General features: G+C 53.5%; 1 protein-coding gene across 9 annotated transcripts in view; it reads left to right on the forward strand.

The window, feature by feature from the left end:
- The window catches only part of PADI1 (peptidyl arginine deiminase 1), a 40880-nt gene that overhangs the window by 16467 nt on the left and 3829 nt on the right, over positions 1–20584 (forward strand). For 3 of the 9 annotated variants that reach the window (NM_013358.3, XM_017001102.2, XM_017001101.2), the window contains exons 2-15: positions 696–876; positions 2027–2099; positions 2773–2834; positions 4217–4334; positions 4439–4564; positions 7031–7203; positions 7354–7457; positions 8491–8614; positions 8978–9085; positions 11225–11376; positions 15720–15864; positions 17022–17115; positions 18110–18189; positions 19041–19166. In NM_013358.3, coding sequence (NP_037490.2) covers positions 696–876; positions 2027–2099; positions 2773–2834; positions 4217–4334; positions 4439–4564; positions 7031–7203; positions 7354–7457; positions 8491–8614; positions 8978–9085; positions 11225–11376; positions 15720–15864; positions 17022–17115; positions 18110–18189; positions 19041–19166 — 1666 coding nt within the window. Of the gene's footprint in view, positions 1–695; positions 877–2026; positions 2100–2772; positions 2835–4216; positions 4335–4438; positions 4565–7030; positions 7204–7353; positions 7458–8490; positions 8615–8977; positions 9086–11224; positions 11377–15719; positions 15865–17021; positions 17116–17250; positions 18066–18109; positions 18190–18237; positions 19167–20584 lie in introns of those variants that run through there. The other 6 variants (XR_946619.3, XR_007059265.1, XM_047418756.1 and 3 more) reach the window with 6 other exon arrangements.

Raw genomic sequence — 20584 nt, forward strand, 5'->3', positions numbered from 1 at the left:
ACATTTAGGCAGAGCCTTGAAGAGGGTGAGGGAAGGAGACTTGTGGACATCTTGGGGAGGAGCAGTCCATGCAGCAGGAGCGGGCAGTGCCAGGACAGCCTTGCCATCTTCATGGCACAACAGGAAGGCCAGCGTGGCTGGAGCTAAGTGAGCGAGGGAAAGCGTAGTAGGGAGGAGGCAGTCAGCAAGGTGGCAGGGGCGCATCAGAAGGGCCTCTTATGCTACTCAAGAGGATTCTGCCTTTTACTGAGTTTGATGGAAACCACTGCTTTCCAGCAAAGGAACAACACGCTCTGCTGTGTGCAAAACAGACTGGAGGGGCCTGGGTGGGACCACGGACCCATGAGAAAGCTGCTCGGTGATCCAGGCGAGGGGTGATGGTGGCTTGGGCCGCAGTGATGTCAGTGGAGGTGGTGAGAGGTGGTGGGTTAGTGGATCTCTGTTGAGCTGGAGAGTTTGGAAGTGTCAGATCTGGAAAGGACTTGGGTGTGGGCTGGGGGTGTCCAAGGGTTTACCATCTATGCCCTGGCTTCCAGATGCTCCTGGCCAGTGGCACTGCCCTGTGCCTCCCCAGCCTGACTGTTGAGGGGTGCCATTTGAACGGCCTGGCAGCCCCAAGCCCCCACCCCACTGTGGCCACTCCCCTGAAGAGAGATGGGAAGACTGGTTCTCTTCCCATCTCTCTTCTCTGCCAGTGATGTGCCCAAGGGTGCCAACAGCTTCAGGGTCTCTGGAAGCTCCGGGGTGGAGGTCTTCATGGTCTACAACCGCACACGTGTGAAAGAGCCCATAGGCAAGGCCCGTTGGCCGCTAGACACTGATGCAGACATGGTCGTATCTGTGGGCACAGCCAGTAAGGAATTAAAGGACTTCAAGGTAAGAGGCCACTTTCTCATAGAAAAGGGTTGGATCTCTCCACCCCCATCCAAGGTAAGAGCCCCACATTGGCAATTCCCATTCCAAAGCTCCCCACTTAACCAAACCTCACAAAGCTTATCACAGTACATACACAAAACGTATCCTGATACAATGCCACTGACGCCCAAAACACGCAAACCTCCACCACCACTCCAGTATCACACATGTACACGTGAGTACTCCCACAAAACACAAGCTCTCCTAGTCACCCCCTCAGATTCACAGACAACTTCACATTAATCCCTGTATTCAGCCCACACACGGACCCAGCAAGATGCCCCAGTGCTCTCGTGTGGGCAGGACCGCACAACAACAACCCGTGCAGGTGCACACACACACGTCCACATCTTTGTGTGCACGGATCTCCCACACCTAAGCCAACCTTCTCTCTCATCGCCTGCCCGAAGCTCAGACGAGTCCCTCCTCACTCGCCCCAGCCCCCAGCACCCAAATCCTAGACATGGCCCTTTCTCCCCGACAGGGAAAAGGCAGGGATAAAGCAGCTGTTGAGGGAGGGGCTCAGGAGCCCACTGTGGGCTCAGACCCCACCTCCTCTGCTTGCTAGCTGAGGGACTGCTGGACTGCAGGCAGGGTCCGGACAGTCTCCTGTCGACTGGGGCCATCCCAGGGGCTCACTGGGATGACCCGGCTGGAGGGCTTGGCACGGATTCTGGACCACGCTAAAAGCTCCAGGACCACTGACTGGGGTGATGGAGTGGGGGTTCTCATTCCCATCTTATTGAGGAACTACCCGAGGCTTAGAGGAGCTGAGAGACTTGCCTAAGTCGATGGAGCCGGCTGCTCCTCCCTCATCTGCCAGCTGCTCCTGCTGGGAGCTGCCCCACCTTTCCCATCCCTCCACCTTTCCCCCACCCTCCTTGCTCCTCACACCTGCTCTGGGAACCAAGGTGGGCTCCACAGCCACTTGCTGGAGAAGGTAGCTCTGAATCCCAGCCGGGAGCCCTTGAGTCTTGGGACTTCAGAGACTGGGGGGGTCTCCAGGCCTCCTGTGCCTCTAAGTAGGGCTGTCAGGATGTGTCCCTCATCACCTCTGCCTCCGCCATCTCTGAAGGTGATGGCCGTGCAGGCTTAGGGCTATGTTCTGCAGGTGAGGGTCTCCTACTTTGGGGAGCAGGAAGACCAAGCTCTGGGCCGCAGCGTGCTTTACCTCACTGGCGTCGGTAAGTAGCAGCTCCCTGGCTGCCCATCTATCCCTTTGCCCCTCCAGGTTGACTGTTTGAGGGTCTTAGTGGATTCCTTGGAGTGGAAGACCCATGGCCAGCTTCCTCCATCACTGAGGGGCTTGGATTCCTCGGGACCTTCTGTCCACTCTGGAACCACAGGGATTGAGACCCAGCAGTCCTTAGGACCACAAGGATCTAGAAACTTCACTGCCCAGTGAACAACGGCTAGACCCACAATAAGCCTCCTTCATCCAGAGTCCCACGTATACCCTCATTAGACCTCCAAGACCCAGCACGGAACGTGCCCCCTTCAGCCAGGGCCAGGGTCAATGTAACGGCAGAACCCAGCCCCTGCAACCTCAGGCCATGTCCCCAGTTCTCAGAGTTTGGGGTCACCAGCATATGATTTGGAACCCCAAAGCCACCAAGAGCTAGCAGGTGGACATGCACAGGCAAGCAAGTGATTCAAGAGCCAAAGGCTTGGGTCCCTCCAACTCCCAGAACCACAGGGCAAGCCACAGAGGTCTCCCAAGTGTGGGGTCTGACCCCCAGACAGGGCTTCCAGTCCTCACGGGCTTGGGGAGGGGTCAGAGTTTGCCCAACCTGGACTTTAGGGGTGTGAAGATGGGGCTGGATGAGCCCCTGGCAGCCCCTCTCCATCTCTTTGCAGATATTTCCCTTGAGGTTGACACAGGCCGCACAGGCAAGGTGAAGAGGAGCCAAGGGGACAAGGTGAGACCCTTCCGGGCACCCCAAGGCTGCGGGGTTGAAAGGCAAACTTGGGGTGGTCCCGGGTGGATTGTGCCCTCCCTCCAGAAGAATGATGGATCCCCAGGGTCTGTAGTATCCAACCATGTAGGGAACCCATCTGGGACAGCAAAATTGGCATGAGTGGACATTAACCTACACCCTGTAACCGACATGCTGTGTGACTGCTGGAAAACAGCTTACCCTCTCTGGGTCTCTCTTGTGCCACTTTGAAATTGGGATTGGTTCTTTTGTTGCTGCCTTTTTTATTTTGAGGGCTATATTTGGACCCCTACACATGTGGGAGTGCTTCCTAAAAGATTGTTGAGTGACAGAAGGCAAGGAGAAGACAAGCCTTGGGGTAGAGGAGGCTATGGTGGTCAGCCCCAGGTAACACCTGAAGAGTAAGGAGGAGGACAGAGTGGGCTCAAGGCGTCACCCCACAGGAACTATCTGGAAGCTGTCCTGGGAGGGGTAGAAGGTACAATTTAAAGGGAAAGACTCCAGAGAGGCAGCCTGGATCACAAAGCTTTGAGGACAAGGTGGGCAGGGCTGCCATGGATGGCTGCGTGGGTTGTTCACTGCACAAGACTGCTTGGGCATGGTGGCAACTATGATACAAATCATGTCTAGGGCCCTGCTGCAGAGTGGCATCTACCCAGAGGGTGGGCAAGAGTGCCATAAAGGCTAACAGTGGCCCTGTGCAATCCCAAGAACCTGGGTTTAAAGGCCAGCTATGCGGCTTGGGACTCACCTCTCAGAACCTCCCCGCACCCTTCTGTGAAATGGGGAAAGTAAGCCCTGCCTTGTGGGTCTGGTGGGGAGGTGTGTTGGGGACAGCAGCAACCACAGAGGCAGGGAGAGCTCCAGCCATGTTTCCCGACTTGGCTCAGACCTCAGCTTGCAGAGCCTGCAGGACTGCATGCGGATGCCAGAGATATCTATGGGACAGGTTCCAGGAGAGTGCTGGGATGGGAAGGGTCTCCCAAAGATTCTCCAGATCCCGACCCTCATCAAGGTCATGGCAGGCAGCCTCTGCCCACCCCCGCCCCACAGGCAGAGCTAAAGCTTAGCCAGCTTTTGAGGGCCATTTCTTGGTGTGGTAATGACACCTTTGCTTCTCCAGTGTGATGGCTGGGTAGAGCCATTGTGTATGGTTGTGCAGGTTGCTCACTGCACAAGGATGAGGTGGGTCTAGAGCCTTATCTGGAACTCCATTCCCCAAATAATCCTTTTTAAAATCTTTAAGCAAACTAAAAATATGAAAATCTATAATCTAATAAAGCAGCCCGCCCTGGCCATGTCTAGAACCCCTTCCTGGAGCCTCCTGGGTCCCACTGATCCCAAGGCATCTTATTTTGCCACAGAAAACCTGGCGCTGGGGCCCTGAGGGCTATGGGGCTATCTTGCTGGTGAACTGTGACCGGGACAATCACAGGTCCGCAGAGCCTGACCTCACCCACAGCTGGCTGATGTCGCTGGCTGGTGAGTGACACAAGGTGTTGTCTGGGGAGTGGGGAAGGGGGATGGAAGTGGATCCTGTTGGTGGGGTGGAGAAAGGGCGATCTCAAGAGGGCCACTCTCTCCAGACCTGCAGGACATGTCCCCAATGCTGCTGAGCTGCAATGGCCCCGACAAGCTCTTCGACAGCCACAAGCTTGTCTTGAACGTGCCCTTTTCTGATTCCAAAAGAGTGAGGGTCTTCTGTGCCAGGGGTGAGTGGCCTGATGGGGCCTTTTCCTCCCAGCTCCATCCATATCTATCCTCTCCTCCCCCATCTCTCTCTCTTTTTTTCCATCACCTTTTTGTAACTCTCATTACAGCTTACAAACAACCACTCCATCAGTACCAAATATAGTCCTCAAGGAGGAGGTTCAACAACAACGAGTTCCATTTTATGGAGAGGAAAACCGAGGCTCAGATGCAGGAATTCACTATGGCACAACCATCTGGGGTGGAGCAGGCATTCCAACCCAGGTGTCTTGGGTGCACCAAAGCTCCTCCTTTTACCATTGCCCCACACCCGTTCCCTCCTCTGGTCAATCAGCGTGGACTGAACTGCATGCCAAGCACTGTCCAGGCAGGGAGGGCGTGAGAACCAGTGAGGCTGAGGCCCGGGCCCTGCCTCTGGCCCCAGAACCTGTCTTTCTCATCAGAGTTTTTATTAATCAGCCTGTGGCTTAAAAAAATATGGCCAAGGCTGGGCGCAATGACTCACATCTGTAATCCCAGTACTTTGGGAGGCGGATCACCTGAGGTCAGGAGTTTGAGAGCAGCCTGGCCAACACAGTGAAACCCTGTCTCTATTAAAAATACAAAAATTAGGCCGGGCACGGTGGCTCACACCTGTAATCCTAGCACTTTGAGAGGCCGAGGAGGGTGGATCACAAGGTCAGGAGATCGAGAACATCCTGGCTAACATGGAGAAAACCCGTTTCCACTAAAAAATACAAAAAAATTAGCCAGGTGTGGCGGCAGGTGCCTGTAGTCCCAGCTGCTCCGGAGGTTAAGGCAAGAGGTGGAGCTTGCAGTGAGCTGAGATCACGCCACTGCACTCCAGCCTGGGCGACAGAGTGAGACTCTGTCTAAAAAAAAAAAAAAAAATTAGCTGGGTGTGGAGACTCATGCCTGTAGTCCCAGCTACTCGGGAGGTTGAGGCAGGAGAATCACTCAAACCCAGGAGGCAGAGGTTGCAGTGAACCAAGATCATGCCACTGCACTCCAGCCTGGGTGAGTGAACCAAGATCATGCCACTGCACTCCAGCCTGGGTGACAGTGCAAGACTTCATCTCAAAAAAAAAAAAAAAGAAAAAGAAAAAATTGGCCGGGCCCAGTGGCTCATGCCTATAATTCCAGCACTTTGGGAGGCCAAGGCGGGAGGATCACTTGAGCCCAGGAGTTTGAGACCAGCCTGGGCAACATGGCAAAACCTTGTCTCTACAAAACATACAAAAAAATTAGCCTGTAGTCCCAGCTACTCTGAAGGCTGAAGTGGGAGGATCACTTGAGCCCAGGAAGTCAAGGCTGCAGGGAGCCGTGTTCATGCCACTGCACTCCAGCCTGGGAGACAGAGTGAGACCCTGTCTCAAATAAATAAATAAATAAATAAATAAATAAATAAATAAATAAATAAATAAATTACCACTCCTTAACCCCGGACTGCTCTTACTTGTTTTTACAAACAGCAACAGGCTTCTACCCCTTCCCGATTCCCCTTCACCCTTCGCTGTTCAAACTGACCCAGAGCTTGTTGTTCCAGCTAAATGAGCCTGGCAGGAGCCAGAATGTTCCCTCCCATGCACCAGTGGTGGATGTTTAGGCAGAGGACTCAGCTTAAAAGTACTTAGTGTGACACCAGGGCGTAAGCAAAGTCTCGACAAGTGAATGGATAGCCTCTCTTGCCGTGTGCAGCCACCAATGTGCTCTCTGTATCTCTGAAATTCCCTATCTGGATATTTCATATAAATGGAACCATACAATAGGCTTCTTTTAGTTAGCATAATGTCTTCAAGGTTCATCCATGGTGTAGCATGAATCAGTGCTTCATTACTTTTCTTATGTTTTAGAGACAGGGTCTCACTCTGTTGTCCAGGCTGGCGTGCAGTGATGCTATCACGGCTCACTGCAGCCTTGAACTCCCGGGCTCAAGCGATACTCCCACCTCAGCCTCCCGAGTAGCTGGGACTACAGACATGTGCCACCACGCCTGGCTATTTTAAAAAATTTTTTGTAGAGATGGGGTCTCCCTATGTTACCCAGGCTGGTCTCAAGTGATCCTCCCGCCTTGGCCTCCCAAAGTGCTGGGATTATAGACATGAGCCACCATACCTGTCTGGTCATTACTTTTTACGAATTAATAATATTCCATCTTATGAATATATTACATTTTGCATATCTATTTATCCATGGGTAATTTTCACCTTTTGTGCCAGGTGCTTCTATCTCTTTATTTAGTTTAAAGTTTATATTGGCCTCATGAGAAAATGTTAGCCATTTTACAGATAAGAAACTGAGGCTTAGAGAGGTTGAGTCATTGAGCTAAGGCCATGCAGCTTGCACGTGGCAGAGCCAGAGAGGAACCCAAGCTGCTCTAACCACAAAGGGGGCTCTGTCCTGGATTCCTGGGCTTGCAGCCCCTCACCCCTGTCTCCTCGCTAGCCCCTGACTCTTGTTCTTCCTAGGTGGGAATTCTCTCTCGGACTACAAACAGGTGCTGGGGCCCCAGTGTCTGTCCTATGAAGTTGAGCGACAGCCAGGGGAGCAGGAGATCAAGTTCTATGTGGAGGGGCTGACCTTCCCCGATGCCGATTTCCTAGGGCTGGTTTCCCTCAGTGTCAGCCTGGTGGACCCGGGGGTGTGTACAGCACTGGGGGGTGGCCAAGGAGGCTGAGGGGTTTGGGGGCCCAGTTTGCAGGCTCCAGGGCTGGGCAGGCTGGGGGCTGGGGGGGCTTGAGGCAGGCTAGGGGTCCCTGCAGGGCCCACCAAGTCCTCATTTTCCCCTCAGACCCTGCCCGAGGTGACCCTCTTCACAGACACTGTGGGCTTCCGCATGGCCCCCTGGATCATGACGCCCAACACTCAGCCTCCTGAGGAGCTGTATGTGTGCAGGTGAGGCTCCCTCCCTCCAGCCCTCCCCCAAGTCTGGAGTGCAGAGGTAGGGACAGAAGCTGCCTCAGGGCTGCGCCCCTCACTCACACCGACGGATTCATTGCGGGCACCCATTCAGGCAGAGCTGGTGGCAGGACAGCAGCAGGTGGGCTGGGGCCCCACCCTGCCCAACCCTGACCCACCCTGCCCTGTGCAGCTAAGGCCTCTCCCAGGTCACTGGCTCAAGCTCTGGCTTTCCTGCCCATCCTGTCCTGTGGCTGCAGCCCCAGAACATCTCAGATTTAGTCTGGGCAGTGGAGCCAGGCCCTGCACAGGCTGCTGGTGGCCATCGGAGACCTACCCTCACTGTAACATGGGTACGATCCCTTGCCTGCTATGGACATGGGAACCCAGTCTCTGCAAGCCCGATCTCACCCAGCTTGCTGGTCCTTCTGCCGTCTCTCAGAATCCTCATCATGCCCTTGAGGGAAGGATCAGCCTCGATTGGCAAAGCCCTGCCAGGCCTCTGTGCCAGAGGTCAGACCACTGGAAAAAGCCACAGTTGAGCTGGTCATAAGTTAAAAGGCTGGGAAGGGTGTGGCCAAACAGGTTTGCTCTGCTTCCCCGGGTCTAGGTGTGTGTAGGTGTTAAAAAGAGACTGTTCTCCTGCTTGCTAACCCCACCCTGACCCCTTTGCTTAGGCCAATTGTGTGGAACAGGAGTAGATGGGGCTACCTGCCCCTCACTGCTATTTTAACCCAAAAGATTCAGCCTCAGGTCACCTCTGTGGCGACTTCCCTGACTCCCTGTGCTGGGTTAGGTGCCCTGCCTCTGGGCACCACTGCCCGCGCTTATGCCTCACCTTGCACCTGTCACCTGATGTGATCTGGAGACTTTATCCATCTTCCCCATGCGCCTATGAGCCTCTCAAGGTCATGAACTGGAACCCCTGTACCCCAGAGGCTGCACAGGGCCCAGCACAAACTGAAGGCCACTCACACCTCAGCCACAGTCAGAGGCCATTAGCATGCTCCCCTCTCCCTACCTTTTACAGAGTGATGGACACTCATGGCTCCAATGAGAAATTCCTGGAGGACATGTCTTATCTGACATTGAAAGCCAACTGCAAGCTGACCATCTGCCCTCAAGTTGAAAATCGAAATGACCGCTGGATCCAGGTGGGAGCTGGGGGCAGCTCGGGAAGCCTGCAGCCTGGCTTGGGGAAAGGGAAGCCGCACAGGTGCCTGATGGACCCAGTGTCGCTAGAGAAGCCACGGCAGCCTGGGCCAGGCCTCTGGGGCGAGGGCTTTTCCGCTGCCTGCATCAGCCCCAGCCTCCACTGCTTCCCTCCAAACGCTCTGGTCCCAGATGAAAGTCCTCTCCTGGCTGGGGTCCTAAGAGGCCTCACTTCTACCTCTGCCCCTCACCAGGTCTTAGGGAAGACCCGCTGCCCTGCCCTGCCCCAGGCCTGGTGGGGACCACCCTGTTCTGTAAACCACCCGAAAAAGGTCACTGTGGCTTTTTCATCTCTCCCCTCCCAGGACGAGATGGAGTTTGGCTACATCGAGGCCCCTCACAAATCCTTCCCCGTGGTCTTTGACTCCCCCAGGAACAGGGGCCTGAAAGATTTCCCCTATAAGAGGATCCTGGTACGTAGCGACAGGTAGAGTGCAGAAACCCTGGTTGGGTCCTCCTGGAGGCGCACCAGTGAAGTCTCATCTGGACCTAGTCCTATAGGGCTCAGAGAACAGGAAGAGGGGGCAGAAGGATACAGGAGGTGGGATGTCAGCAAACTGGGGAGCCAGTGCGGAGTTTGGGCAAGAGAGGAAATGATATGCAAATCACATGCAAATAGGCAGCAGCCTGATTGTTCCTGTGTTGGGAGGGGCAGGTCAGCAGCCCTCTTCTGGATAAGGCGGCTGGTCACCAAGGGGGAATTGGCAGTGTGGTCAGCTCTGGGGAGACCAAACTGCCTTTTGGAGAGAATGCACCCTTAGTGAGCCTGCACGGCTCTTGTTCTTAAGAGCTAGGGCCTCTCTTTAGGTGCCAAATGTTTTCTGAACACCTACTACGTGCCAGGCACTGTGCTACCTCCTGTGCACAAGATGGCAACAGCAGCACCCACCGTTACTTATTGAGTTCCAGGCACTGTCTCCTAGCTTTCCATGGCTTACCTTATGTATTCCATGGGGTACTCCTACAGATAAGTGCTATCATTATTTCCTCTTTATGGATGAGGAAATCAAGGCTCAGGGAGGTTAAGTAACTTGCCCCAGGCCATGCAGCAAGTTAATAGTGGCACCAAGATGCAAAACTAGGGGGGCTGTCCCCACAGCCCTGCACTCAGCCTCGAGGCTGCACTACCCCTCGAGGTGAGTCCACAGTCTCTGCCTGTTTCCCGGCTCCCACTCTTCCACTGCTGGGACGGTGATGGTCCAGGTAGGAGCTGTGATGGGATGCAGTCTGTGGGCACACAGAGCAGGGACATTCAACCCAGCCTGGAGGGATCAGGTGACAATGAACCCTGTAGGTGAGTGCACCCGCCAGGGCCAGCGTGCTGGAGGGGGACCCACCTGACCTGCCCCGGGCTTGGCCTGTAGGAGCCAGGGGATTTTTTCACTGATTTCTGCTCTCATCTTTATCATTTTCATTTTCTACTTTCTTTGTGTTTAGTTTGCTGTTCTTTTTCTGGCTTGAAATGGAAACTAAGATGTTTCAGCCTTTTCTTTTTATTTTATTTATATGTATATATATATTTTTTATTATACTTTAAGTTCTAGGGTACATGTGCCATGTTGGTGTGCTGCACCCATTAACTCGGCATTTACATTAGTTATATCTTGTAATGCTATCCCTCCCCCATCCCCTCACCCCACATCAGCCTTTTCTCTTCCTAAAAAAAACACGTGTTTGTTTGTTTGTTTTTGAGAAGGAGTCTCACACTGTTGCCTGGGCTGGAGTGCAATGGCGCGATCTTGGCTCACTGCAACCTCTGCCTTCCGGGTTCAAGCGATTCTCCTGCCTCAGCCTCCCGAGTAGCTGGGATTACAGGTGTCCCCCACCCTACCACCACGCCTGGCTAATTTTTTGTATTTTTAGTAGAGATGGGGTTTCACCATGTTGTCCAGGCTGGTCTCAAACTCCTGACCTCGTGATCCACCCACCTCGGTCTCCCAAAGTGCTGGGATTACAGGTGTGAGCCACCACGCCTGGCCTACTTTATTTTATGAAACAGGGTCTTGCTCTGTCACCCAGACTAGAGTGCAGTGGTGCAATCCTAGCTCACTGCAGTCTCCACCTCCTGGGCTCAAGCCATCCTCCCACTTCACCCCCTGAGGAGCTGGGAGCACAGGCTTGCCCCACCACGCTCAGTTTAAATACACATGTCTAGAGCTCTGACAACTCCCTAGCAGTGCTGCCTCGTCAACATCTCATGAGTTTTAATGTGCTATCAAAAGACAGCAGATTTTTATGAATTTCACTTCAAAATCTTGTCTAATTTCCACTTTGATTTCTTCTTTGATCCATGGATTCTTTAGATGTATACTGCTTAATTTCCAAACATTTGGGGGAGTTTTTAGTTATCTTTGGTTATTGATTTGTCTTTAATCGCATGGTTCGCAGAGCCCAGGGGGGATTTGTAAAAAGTGGACAGAGATCGTTTTTCAGGTACTAAGAGCCATGGAGTGGGAGACCCCCAGCAACTCCCCTCTACTCCAAGAACTGCCTCGTCCTGTCCTCACTGACCTCTCCTTCTTGGGGTGGGGGTCTCGCTGGTTCTTCCATAGGGTCCTGACTTTGGATATGTTACCCGGGAGATCCCGCTCCCTGGTCCCTCCAGCCTTGACTCCTTCGGCAACCTGGACGTCAGCCCGCCCGTCACGGTGGGCGGCACGGAATACCCCCTGGGCCGGATCCTCATCGGGAGCAGCTTCCCCAAGTGAGGGGCTGGGGCGGGAGGTGGGGAGGCACAAGGGAATGACTGCAGCATCCACCCTCCCTGTGCCCCCATCACAAACACAATTCCCCAGTCTGAGAAGTGATCTTAACTTCCTGCGTGGAATCCTGGAATCAAAGACTCGGCAACCTAGGATCTCAGATTTAAAAGATCAGAGAATCTTAGGAGAAAAGTCACACGCTTGTGGCCTGCGATCTTTTGGCCTACCTCATTTTATGAGCTTAATGAGTCACCAACATAAACAGATATCGGGAGGGCCTCCCATAAAAAGGCAGGTTTCTGGCTTCTCATGAAAAATTGGAGAAGCTGGGGAGGTGAGATACAGTCTGGCACAGAGACAGAGGAATAGACTCATTGACTTCTCCCATTAGGAAGTCAGAATAGCTTCTGTCCTAACCATGGCTTAAAAGGGTCCTGAGGTCATGAAGTTCCCAGGGCAGGTGGCTGCAGGTAAGCAAGTGATTGGCCAGGATACCCTGATGACAGAGGTGAGTCAGTGGATCTCACCCTGGACAGATGTGATGGAGCAGGAAACAAGGTATTTAGGTTTTAACGCTCAAACAGGTGGCGATGTCTGTTAGGTCCTGCTGAGTGGGTGCACACCCTCCCTGCAGGTAACCAAAGAATGACGTGTGCAGTTCAGGGTCCTGGTGGGTCCCCCTGTTTCCTCCCTGGAGATGACACCCACTGTAAGCCCTGGAGATCACCTTCCTGTTTGTGGGGTTTTTGCATAGCAGGGGTGCCCCCACTTACCCCCCAAGCCCTGGCTGACCATCTGGTCTCCAGCCCAGAGGAGTCAGGCAGTGCTGAGAAGGTCACAGCCTCACCTGGTGAATCTGGCAGCCTCAGAGCTCTGGATCGGATGAGGCGAGGCTTCCTGGCACCTACCCAGGCACGTAACTGGGTGCCCAGACAGGATGCCTGGGGCTGAGACTGGCCAGGCGAGAGGCATGTGCTCACCCTGTTGGTGACTCATGCCCAGACACTACTGTGTGGGCTGTTCTACCCACACCCTTGGGGGCAGACGGTCCTTGAGGCCTCAGGACAGTCTTTCTCTAACTCAGGGAGGAACCCGTGAGGAAGGAGCACAGGCTTTGGAATCAGATGGACTTGGGTTTGAGTCCTGGCCCTGCCACTTGCCAGCTACATGATTTGGGATGAGTCCCCCAAACCAGTGTATACCACAGTGCCTGGCACACAATAGGTACTCAATTAATTCACTTAAAAATATTTATTGTATGCCAGGCACAGTTAAAGGTACTGGGGATACATCAGTGAACAAAACAGATGCATTTTAAATGAGCAAATTATTTTGTACTCCATGCCTCAGTTTCCTTATCTTTAAAACGGGCCTGATGAAAATCCCAGTCCTAGCTACAGAATCAGCATTACTGGGGATAAAGAATTCGTGTCAACCACCTCTTGAATGCTTAGGTATTTTTCATTTGGCCCCAGTAGTGGGGCTGCTTCAAAGCAGGTTGGAACTAACTGGAAAAATGTATTGACCAGCTACTACCTACTACATGTCACACCCATAGTGCTTTCCCCAGGCTACCTCATTTAATTTCTACAACAACCCTGTGAGACTGAGACCATCATTATCCCCACTTTACAGATAAGGAAGCTGAGGCTTGGAAAAGTTAAGTTACGTGCATTCTTTCATACATTCATTTACCAGTTCAGTAAATATTTATGGAGACTTCCTATAGGCCAAGCCCAAAGTCTAATGCTGGGGATACAGAAATGGCTGAGGAGCTTGCCCTTGAGATTTAGAGTCTAATGAGGGAGACAGGCAAGCAATGGATCAGAGAGGGGATCACATATCATCCCACGTGCGTTGTCCTAGAAGGCTTCCTAGGGGCAGCCAACGATATTGACGCTTCTTTGCGAGGCCAAGGTGGGTGGATCACCTGAGGCCAGGAGTTTGGGACCAGCCTGGCCAACATGGTGAAACCTCGTCTCTGCTAAAAATACTAAAATTAGCTGGGCCTGATGGTGCACGCCCATGGTCCCAGCTACTTGGGAGGCTGAGGTAGGAGAATTGCTTGAATCCAGGAGGCAGAGGTTGCGCTGAGCTAAGATCAAGCCACTGCACTCCAGCCTAGGTGACAGAGCAATACTCCGTCTAAACAAACAAATAAATGAAGGAAAGAAGGAAGGGAGGGAGGGAGGGAGGAAGGGAAGGAAGGAAGGAAGGAAAGAAGGAAGGAAGGGAGGGAGGGAGGAAGGGAAGGAAGGAAGGGAGGGAGGGAGGGAGAGTGGGAGGGAGGAAGGGAAGGAAGGAAGGAAGGAAGGAAGGAAGGAGGGAAGGAAGGAAGGAGGCAAAGTAGTGTGGAGTGGACCATGTTGCAGGCAGAGGGAAGCGCTCAGGCAGAAGCCTGGAAGCCAGAGAAGGTACAGCTCAAAGGAAAAGTCGAAAAAACTCGGTATGGGTGGCATGTAGATGGGCAGGGATGGACCGGTAGGACCTCAGGCAGGAGGGGGCTCTGCGGGTCCAGCTGGGGACAGAGTTCAGGGAGAAACCATTCTGTTCAGATGCCTCATGGGGCAGTTCTCTCCTCCAGGATCCTTGGGACCTGGGCTCAGGAGCAGAGAGCTCAGAGGATGCAGGCTCAGGGGCGGAGAGCCGGAGGATGTAGGCTCAGGGGCAGAGAGCTCGGAGGATGCAGGCTCAGGGGCAGAGAGCTCAGAGGATGCAGACTCAGGAAGGGGAGGGGCTCCTTGGTGTTCTCCAAGGACTTTGCTCCCTTCTCTGTCCCAGGCTCCTGCCCCAGTCTCTATATCACACTGCAACACATGGACATCCTTACCTGTCTGCTCCCACAAGCCTCACGAGCCAGTGAGCCAAGCCAGGAACCTTCTCTCAAGGGTGCAGGGGTCTGCTCTGGGAACTCCCAGGCACAGAGCAAGGACCCCACATGGGAAAGTGAGGGGTCTCCTGTGTGGACGTGTCCCCATTCCATTGGCTGTTGGACTGAAAACCAGGAATGAGGCCTTTGGTGGATAGATAGGACCTGAGGTTTGAAAAGGGTTGGCTACGTATTAGGACCACATAGCAAGTTAGCAGTACGGTCAGAACCCAGGTCTCCTTCTACCTGGGCTCCAAACTCAAATTTAGCACCTCAGGCTGCTGTCCAGTGACCCTGCCTTGGTTTCTGACCTTAGCAATGGACAAACCAGACAACCAAACATTCCAGCAGAGAGAAACAGACAATAAGTGAACAAAACAAATAAGTACCTCCAATCATATGTATGAATATAGTATGAATGCATGAACAAATGCATATAACTTTAATTTTCTGGGACTCAACTCCCTCACCTGTAAAATGGGGACAGTAATAGTCCCAACCCCACAGGGCTGTCATAAGGATTAAATGAGGTAGCCTGGGTAAAGCATGTGTGTGGCACATGTCAATAAATGTTTGTCTCAGCTTTGCTGAGAGTCTGCTGTTTAAACAAAGCCTTGAAGGAAAAGAGGCAGTTAGGCCAAGCACAGTGGCCCTCACTTGTAGTCCCAGTGCTGTGGGAGGCCGAGGTGGGGGGGTCGCTTGAATCCAGGAGTTTAAGACTAGCCTGGGTGGCATGGCGAAACCCACCTCTACAAAAATTACAAAAATTAGCCGTGCGTGGTGGCACATACCTGTTGTCCAAGCTACTCAGGAGGCTGAGGTGGGAGGATCACTTGAGCACGGGAGGTTGAGGCTGCAGTGAGCCATGCACTCCAGCCTCTAGGCTGGGCAACAGAGTGAGTGAGACCTTGTCTCAAAAAAAAATTAAAAAAGAGAGAGAGAAAGAAAGAAAAAAAGAAAGGAAGGAAGGAAGAGGAAGAAAGAGAAAAGAAGGAAAGAAAGAAGAGGCAGTTAAAGATGTGGCTACTTAGGAGAATATTCCAGGGTGTAGAAACAGCTGTGCAAAGGCCCTGAGGCAAGAGCAGGCTGGAGACAGCAGATCAGCAGGGAGGCTGGTGGGCCTGGAGCCAAGTGAGCAAGGAGGGGCGCAGTGGGGAGTGAGGCCAGAGAGCTTGGCCGAGCACGCTTCAGATGTAACTTGGAGCTGGTATTTCTATGTATATCATAGGGTCATCAGGAGGCTTAAACAAGACACTTACTGCGAGGACCCTAAGGACAGCACACAGTAGGTGCTCAAATGCACACACAAATGCACAGTCCATTCTCTGCTGTCTTGGCTTCTCCACGCTCTACGCCCCACGTTTAAAGCGTTCTTTGAGCAATTCCGCCCCCTGGTGGCAGATCTGATGATGACTCAGGCAAGGCCTGATGCCTCTCAGGCACAAGGTGACTGCCCGCCCTCTCCCTCCTGGCCAGGTCCGGTGGGCGGCAGATGGCCAGGGCAGTGCGGAACTTCCTGAAGGCACAGCAGGTGCAGGCACCCGTGGAGCTCTACTCGGACTGGCTCTCTGTGGGCCATGTGGACGAGTTTCTGACCTTTGTGCCTACCTCTGACCAAAAGGTGCGTCCCCTCCTTCCCTGCCTGAGCCACCTCTGCCCTTGTCTGACCTGATGGGATGAGTCAGGGCAAAGCCATCTGGAACCAGCTCAACCCTGTGCCCCGAGTAAGCTCTGGATTGGGACATTTTCTGGGTCAGGGCACCCTGACACGCTCATCCTCACACTTCCAGGGTATTTGTGCTTGGACCCAAATCCCTTATCCAATAGTCAGGAATGATATTGATAATAATTGGTAATATTTATTGAGCACCTACTATGTGCCAGATACTCACATGTTTTAATTCATTTAATCCTCCAACAAGCCCGTCAAGTGGGTGCAATTATTATTGTCCCATTTTACAAGCGAGGAAATTGAGGCTCAGAAGGGCAATTAACCCATCCAAGCTCACCCAGCCTGCAGGTGTCAGGATAGGATTCAAATCCGGGTTCTGGGCCTCTACAGTAAGCCTTGCAGAGGTGGCTTGGGAAGGCATGGCCAGGGAGCCAGCAGCCTGGGAGAGGAGGCTTCCCAGTGACCAGTGGTTACAGCTCTGCTAGGGACAGCTCTGACAGTGAAGGAGGAGACATCTGAATTGGGTATTTTGTTTGTTTTTTGTTTGTTTGTTTTTCGAGACAGAATCTTGCTCTGTTGCCCAGGCTGGAGTGCAATAGCGCGATCTTGGCTCACTACAACCTTCACCTGCTGGGTTCAAGCGATTCTCCTGCCTCAGCCTCCCAAGTAGCTGGGATTACACCACCATGCCCAGCTAATTTTTTGTATTTTAAGTAGAGACAGGGTTTCACCATGTTGGCCAGGCTGGTCTCAAACTCCTGACTGCAGGTGATCTGCCCACCTTGGCCTCCCAAAGTGCTGGGATTACAGGCGTGAGCCACGACACCCAGCCCTGAATTGGGCCTTGAAGGAAGAAATCAGAATGCCCTGGTGGGCAAAATGCGAAGGGCGTCCAGGGAGGGAGAACAGCACAGACAAAGTTCTGGAGGTGGGAACCTGCTTGGAGGACTGGGAGAGTTGCAGACAGTGCTTTGTGGCTGGGGTGTAGACCGAGTGGGAGAGGGGAGTCCCAAGAACTGTCAGGCCCCTCCTGAGTCCTGAGTCTGGGGTCTCCTGTGTCTAAGGGGACCCTGTCCACTGAGCCATTCTCCCTCCCTCCGTGCCAGGGCTTCCGGCTGCTCCTGGCTAGCCCCAGCGCTTGCCTCAAACTCTTCCAAGAGAAGAAAGAAGAGGGTTATGGGGAGGCAGCCCAGTTTGATGGTGAGTGCCAATGACCCGGTCACCCCTGGGGGACCCTGCCCTTTCATCACCATCCTTGGGTACAGCCCCTGCACCTGCAGATCTCTCAGCTGGACTCAGAACCCAACACCCACTCTCTGTTTCTTGGGTCCCCAGGTCCTCTGATGGGTGGGGGAGTTCCTGGGCCACACCCCAGGAGAGGAAAGGCACAGGAAGTCATGAGTGCCCCAGGTGCCGGTCAATGCCAGGCATGTTCTTGTTCTCACTCCCCTTTGATCTCTCTCCCCTCTTCCTTATCCCTGTTCACAGAAGTGGAAACTGAGGCTCAGAAAGGTGAATTGGCTTGGACAGGGCTATGCAGCCAGGGAGCAGCAGGGCTGGGGCCTTGAGAGAGGAAGGAGGAGAAGCCAGGCTTGGTCAGGGCCCCTCTGCAGAGCTTCCTGCAGGAGCTAACAGACCCTCCAAGGGCTTGGTTGGCCCATCTCCCCTCCTTATCACAGCCTCAGTGTTCTCATCTGGGGAATACCTGGGGAATAGAGCATTGGAATGGATGTGGTGCAGACATCCACAAGGATAGCCCTGAGTTCAAATCCTGATCTTGGCATTTGCTGGCTGTGGTATCAAGGGTGTGTTCTGAACCTCTCAGTGCCTCAGTTTCCTCTTCTCTGAGTTGTAGATGATAATTAATCCCTCCTATAGTTGCTTTAAATATTAATAATACATTAAGTAGGATGCCCAGAGCATGGCAGACATTCAATAATGGTAGCTGTGCCATAATTATTAGGCTCCAAGTCCAGAGTCACTTCCTGAGGGGTTCCTTATCCATCACCAGGTTTTCCTTGCAGCCATGGCTTGGTCCCTTCAGGGGTTCTCAGTCTCTGGCTTTCTCTGTCCTGGCTTCTGACCCTGGCACTGAGGTAGGAGGGAAATCCTGGCCTGGATTATGTAGCCCCAGGCTGAAGACGGCCTCCAGGCAGTGCTCCCTGAGCTATGTACTGTCTTTCTCTTCTTGCAGGGTTAAAACACCAGGCAAAAAGAAGCATTAATGAGATGCTGGCAGACAGACACCTCCAGAGAGACAATCTTCATGCACAGGTGAGAGGCAGGACCACCAGCTGCTCTAAGGGGTCCTTTCCCTTCCAGGGAGAAGAAGCCCCAGGAACTGGGTTGGGTCAGAGATTCAGCGCTGGAGCTCTCATGGTCCTGGGGGCTGCTGGGGCCTGCAGGTGGGATAGAGCCTCTGCCTTCAGGAACCCACAGTCTGATGGAAGAGACAGAGCCATGCCCTCAGAGAGCTCCCAGCCTAATGAGGGAGACCCGGCCCCACGCTGGGGCAATGACCTATTTTCACAGAAGCAAATCTGAGCCTCTCATCTGAGAAGTCTGGTGAAATGCGAGAGACACGGTGGGGAAATAGGACCTTGAGGGGCCCAGAGGTGGGGTGGGTAAGATTCAGGGGGATCCTGTGGGAACAGGTGAAGCAAGGTGTCAGGAAGGGGCAGGGCTCACCCCAAGGATAAAAAATGCCTGCCCCATGCAAGGCGAAGGGGCTAGCACAGAGTCGGTGCTCAGTTAATGGCAGGAGGGCCCTTACCCCTTCCCGGTAGTGCCCAGCGCTTTCTCCTAAGCTGCTGAGAAGGGACAGGAGCATCAGCCATGCTGTGGCTGGGGCTGGGACAGTGTGTTGTGCTGACAAGAACATTTGCATCCAGAAACTGCCTGGGTTCGAACCCCAGCTTTGGCACATCCTAGCCTTGTGCACTTGAGCAGGTTGCCTGAGCCTCAGTTTCCCCCGGACAGCAATGGTTTCTATTGCACAAAGCTGTTGTGAGGCTTGAAGGAGCTAGCGGGCCCAGAGGGCTCCACACGGGCCCAGCGCACAGTAGGTGCTTGGCCAGTGTTATGCTCTTCCTAGTCCTGGGCTGCCCAGCTGCCTCCTTCCCCAGAAATGCATTGACTGGAACCGTAATGTGCTGAAGCGGGAGCTGGGCCTGGCAGAGAGTGACATCGTGGACATTCCCCAGCTCTTCTTCCTGAAAAACTTCTACGCGGAAGCCTTCTTCCCAGACATGGTGAGAGCCCTTGTGCAGGGTCCTGCTGGGGGGTCTGCGGGGCTCTGAGAAGAAGCACTCCCTGGCCCAGGGCAGGCTGGTGCAGAGGCTGGAGGGCCCTGCGGACCTCTCCAGTGTCTGTTTTTGTGAATATAGAGAACATTCCCATCAGTGGCTCTCAACCAGGGCAATTTTGCCCCCAGGGGATTTTTGTTGCCGCAGTGAGGTGCATGCCCCTGGCATCTGGTGGGTAGAAGCCAGGGATTTCACTAAACATCCTACAGAGCATAGGATGCCCCGCCACAAAGCACTTTTTTTTTTCTCACCCAGATGGAAAAAGAAAGCGTGGTTTGGTTCCAAGTGTTTCAGGCTTCTGTCTCTGGGTCTCAGCTGCCTGCTGTGTTCCCCACCACAGCCCCTCGCTTGCTGCTCCCCAGTGGGGGTCCTGTGTCAGGCGGTGCAGGTGGGGTGGGCGGTGGCCTCGCTGACTCTCATTAACAGGGCAGCTGACAAGGAGATGAGCAGATGTGATCTCAACTGGGAAGGGCCTGAGCGATGCTATCGGGGTGGGCCTGGCCCAAGTGCCCATTAACCTCTTGGGAAAGGATGTTGGGGTGTTGGCAGCTGGCAGGGATGGTCCCCCGGGATGGGGATAGACCCTCTTTCTTCAGACTGCGGTCTTTAGCTTGAATCCCTCTCTTGGGACAAGCCGAGGGTTGGAAGTGAATGTCGGAATCGGGATGGAATCAGGGTTGGAAGTGAAAGTCGGAATCGGGATGGAATCAGGGTTGGAAGTGAATGTCAGAATCGGGATGGAATCAGGGTTGGAAGTGAATGTCGGAATCGGGATGGAATCAGGGTTGGAAGTGAATGTCGGAATCGGGATGGAATCAGGGTTGGAAGTGAATGTCGGAATCGGGATGGAATCAGGGTTGGAAGTGAATGTCGGAATCGGGATGGAATCAGGGTTGGAAGTGAAAGTCGGAATCGGGATGGAATCAGGGTTGGAAGTGAATGTCGGAATCGGGATGGAATCAGGGTTGGAAGTGAATGTCGGAATCGGGATGGAATCAGGGTTGGAAGTGAATGTCGGAATCGGGATGGAATCAGGGTTGGAAGTGAATGTCGGAATCGGGATGGAATCAGGGTTGCAAGTGAATGTCGGAATCGGCATGGAATCAGGGTTGGAAGTGAATGTCGGAATCGGCATGGAATCAGGGTTGGAAGTGAATGTCGGAATCAGGATGCAGGTTGCAGGAGGTGGGGAGGGTCAGTGTGCTTTCCTGACTCCTCATGGGGAGATTCCAGCCTCTAGGTCCTGGCAGAGACCCCCAAGCAGGATTTCTCGACTCTGTAGCTCTACTTCTGTTTTAGGCTGGATAAGCCTTTGTTGTAGATGCTGTACAGTGCCTCGCAGGATGCTTAGCGGCCTCCCTGGT

Source organism: Homo sapiens, chromosome 1 (genome assembly GCF_000001405.40).
Source record: "Homo sapiens chromosome 1, GRCh38.p14 Primary Assembly".
Taxonomy (NCBI): domain Eukaryota; kingdom Metazoa; phylum Chordata; class Mammalia; order Primates; family Hominidae; genus Homo; species Homo sapiens.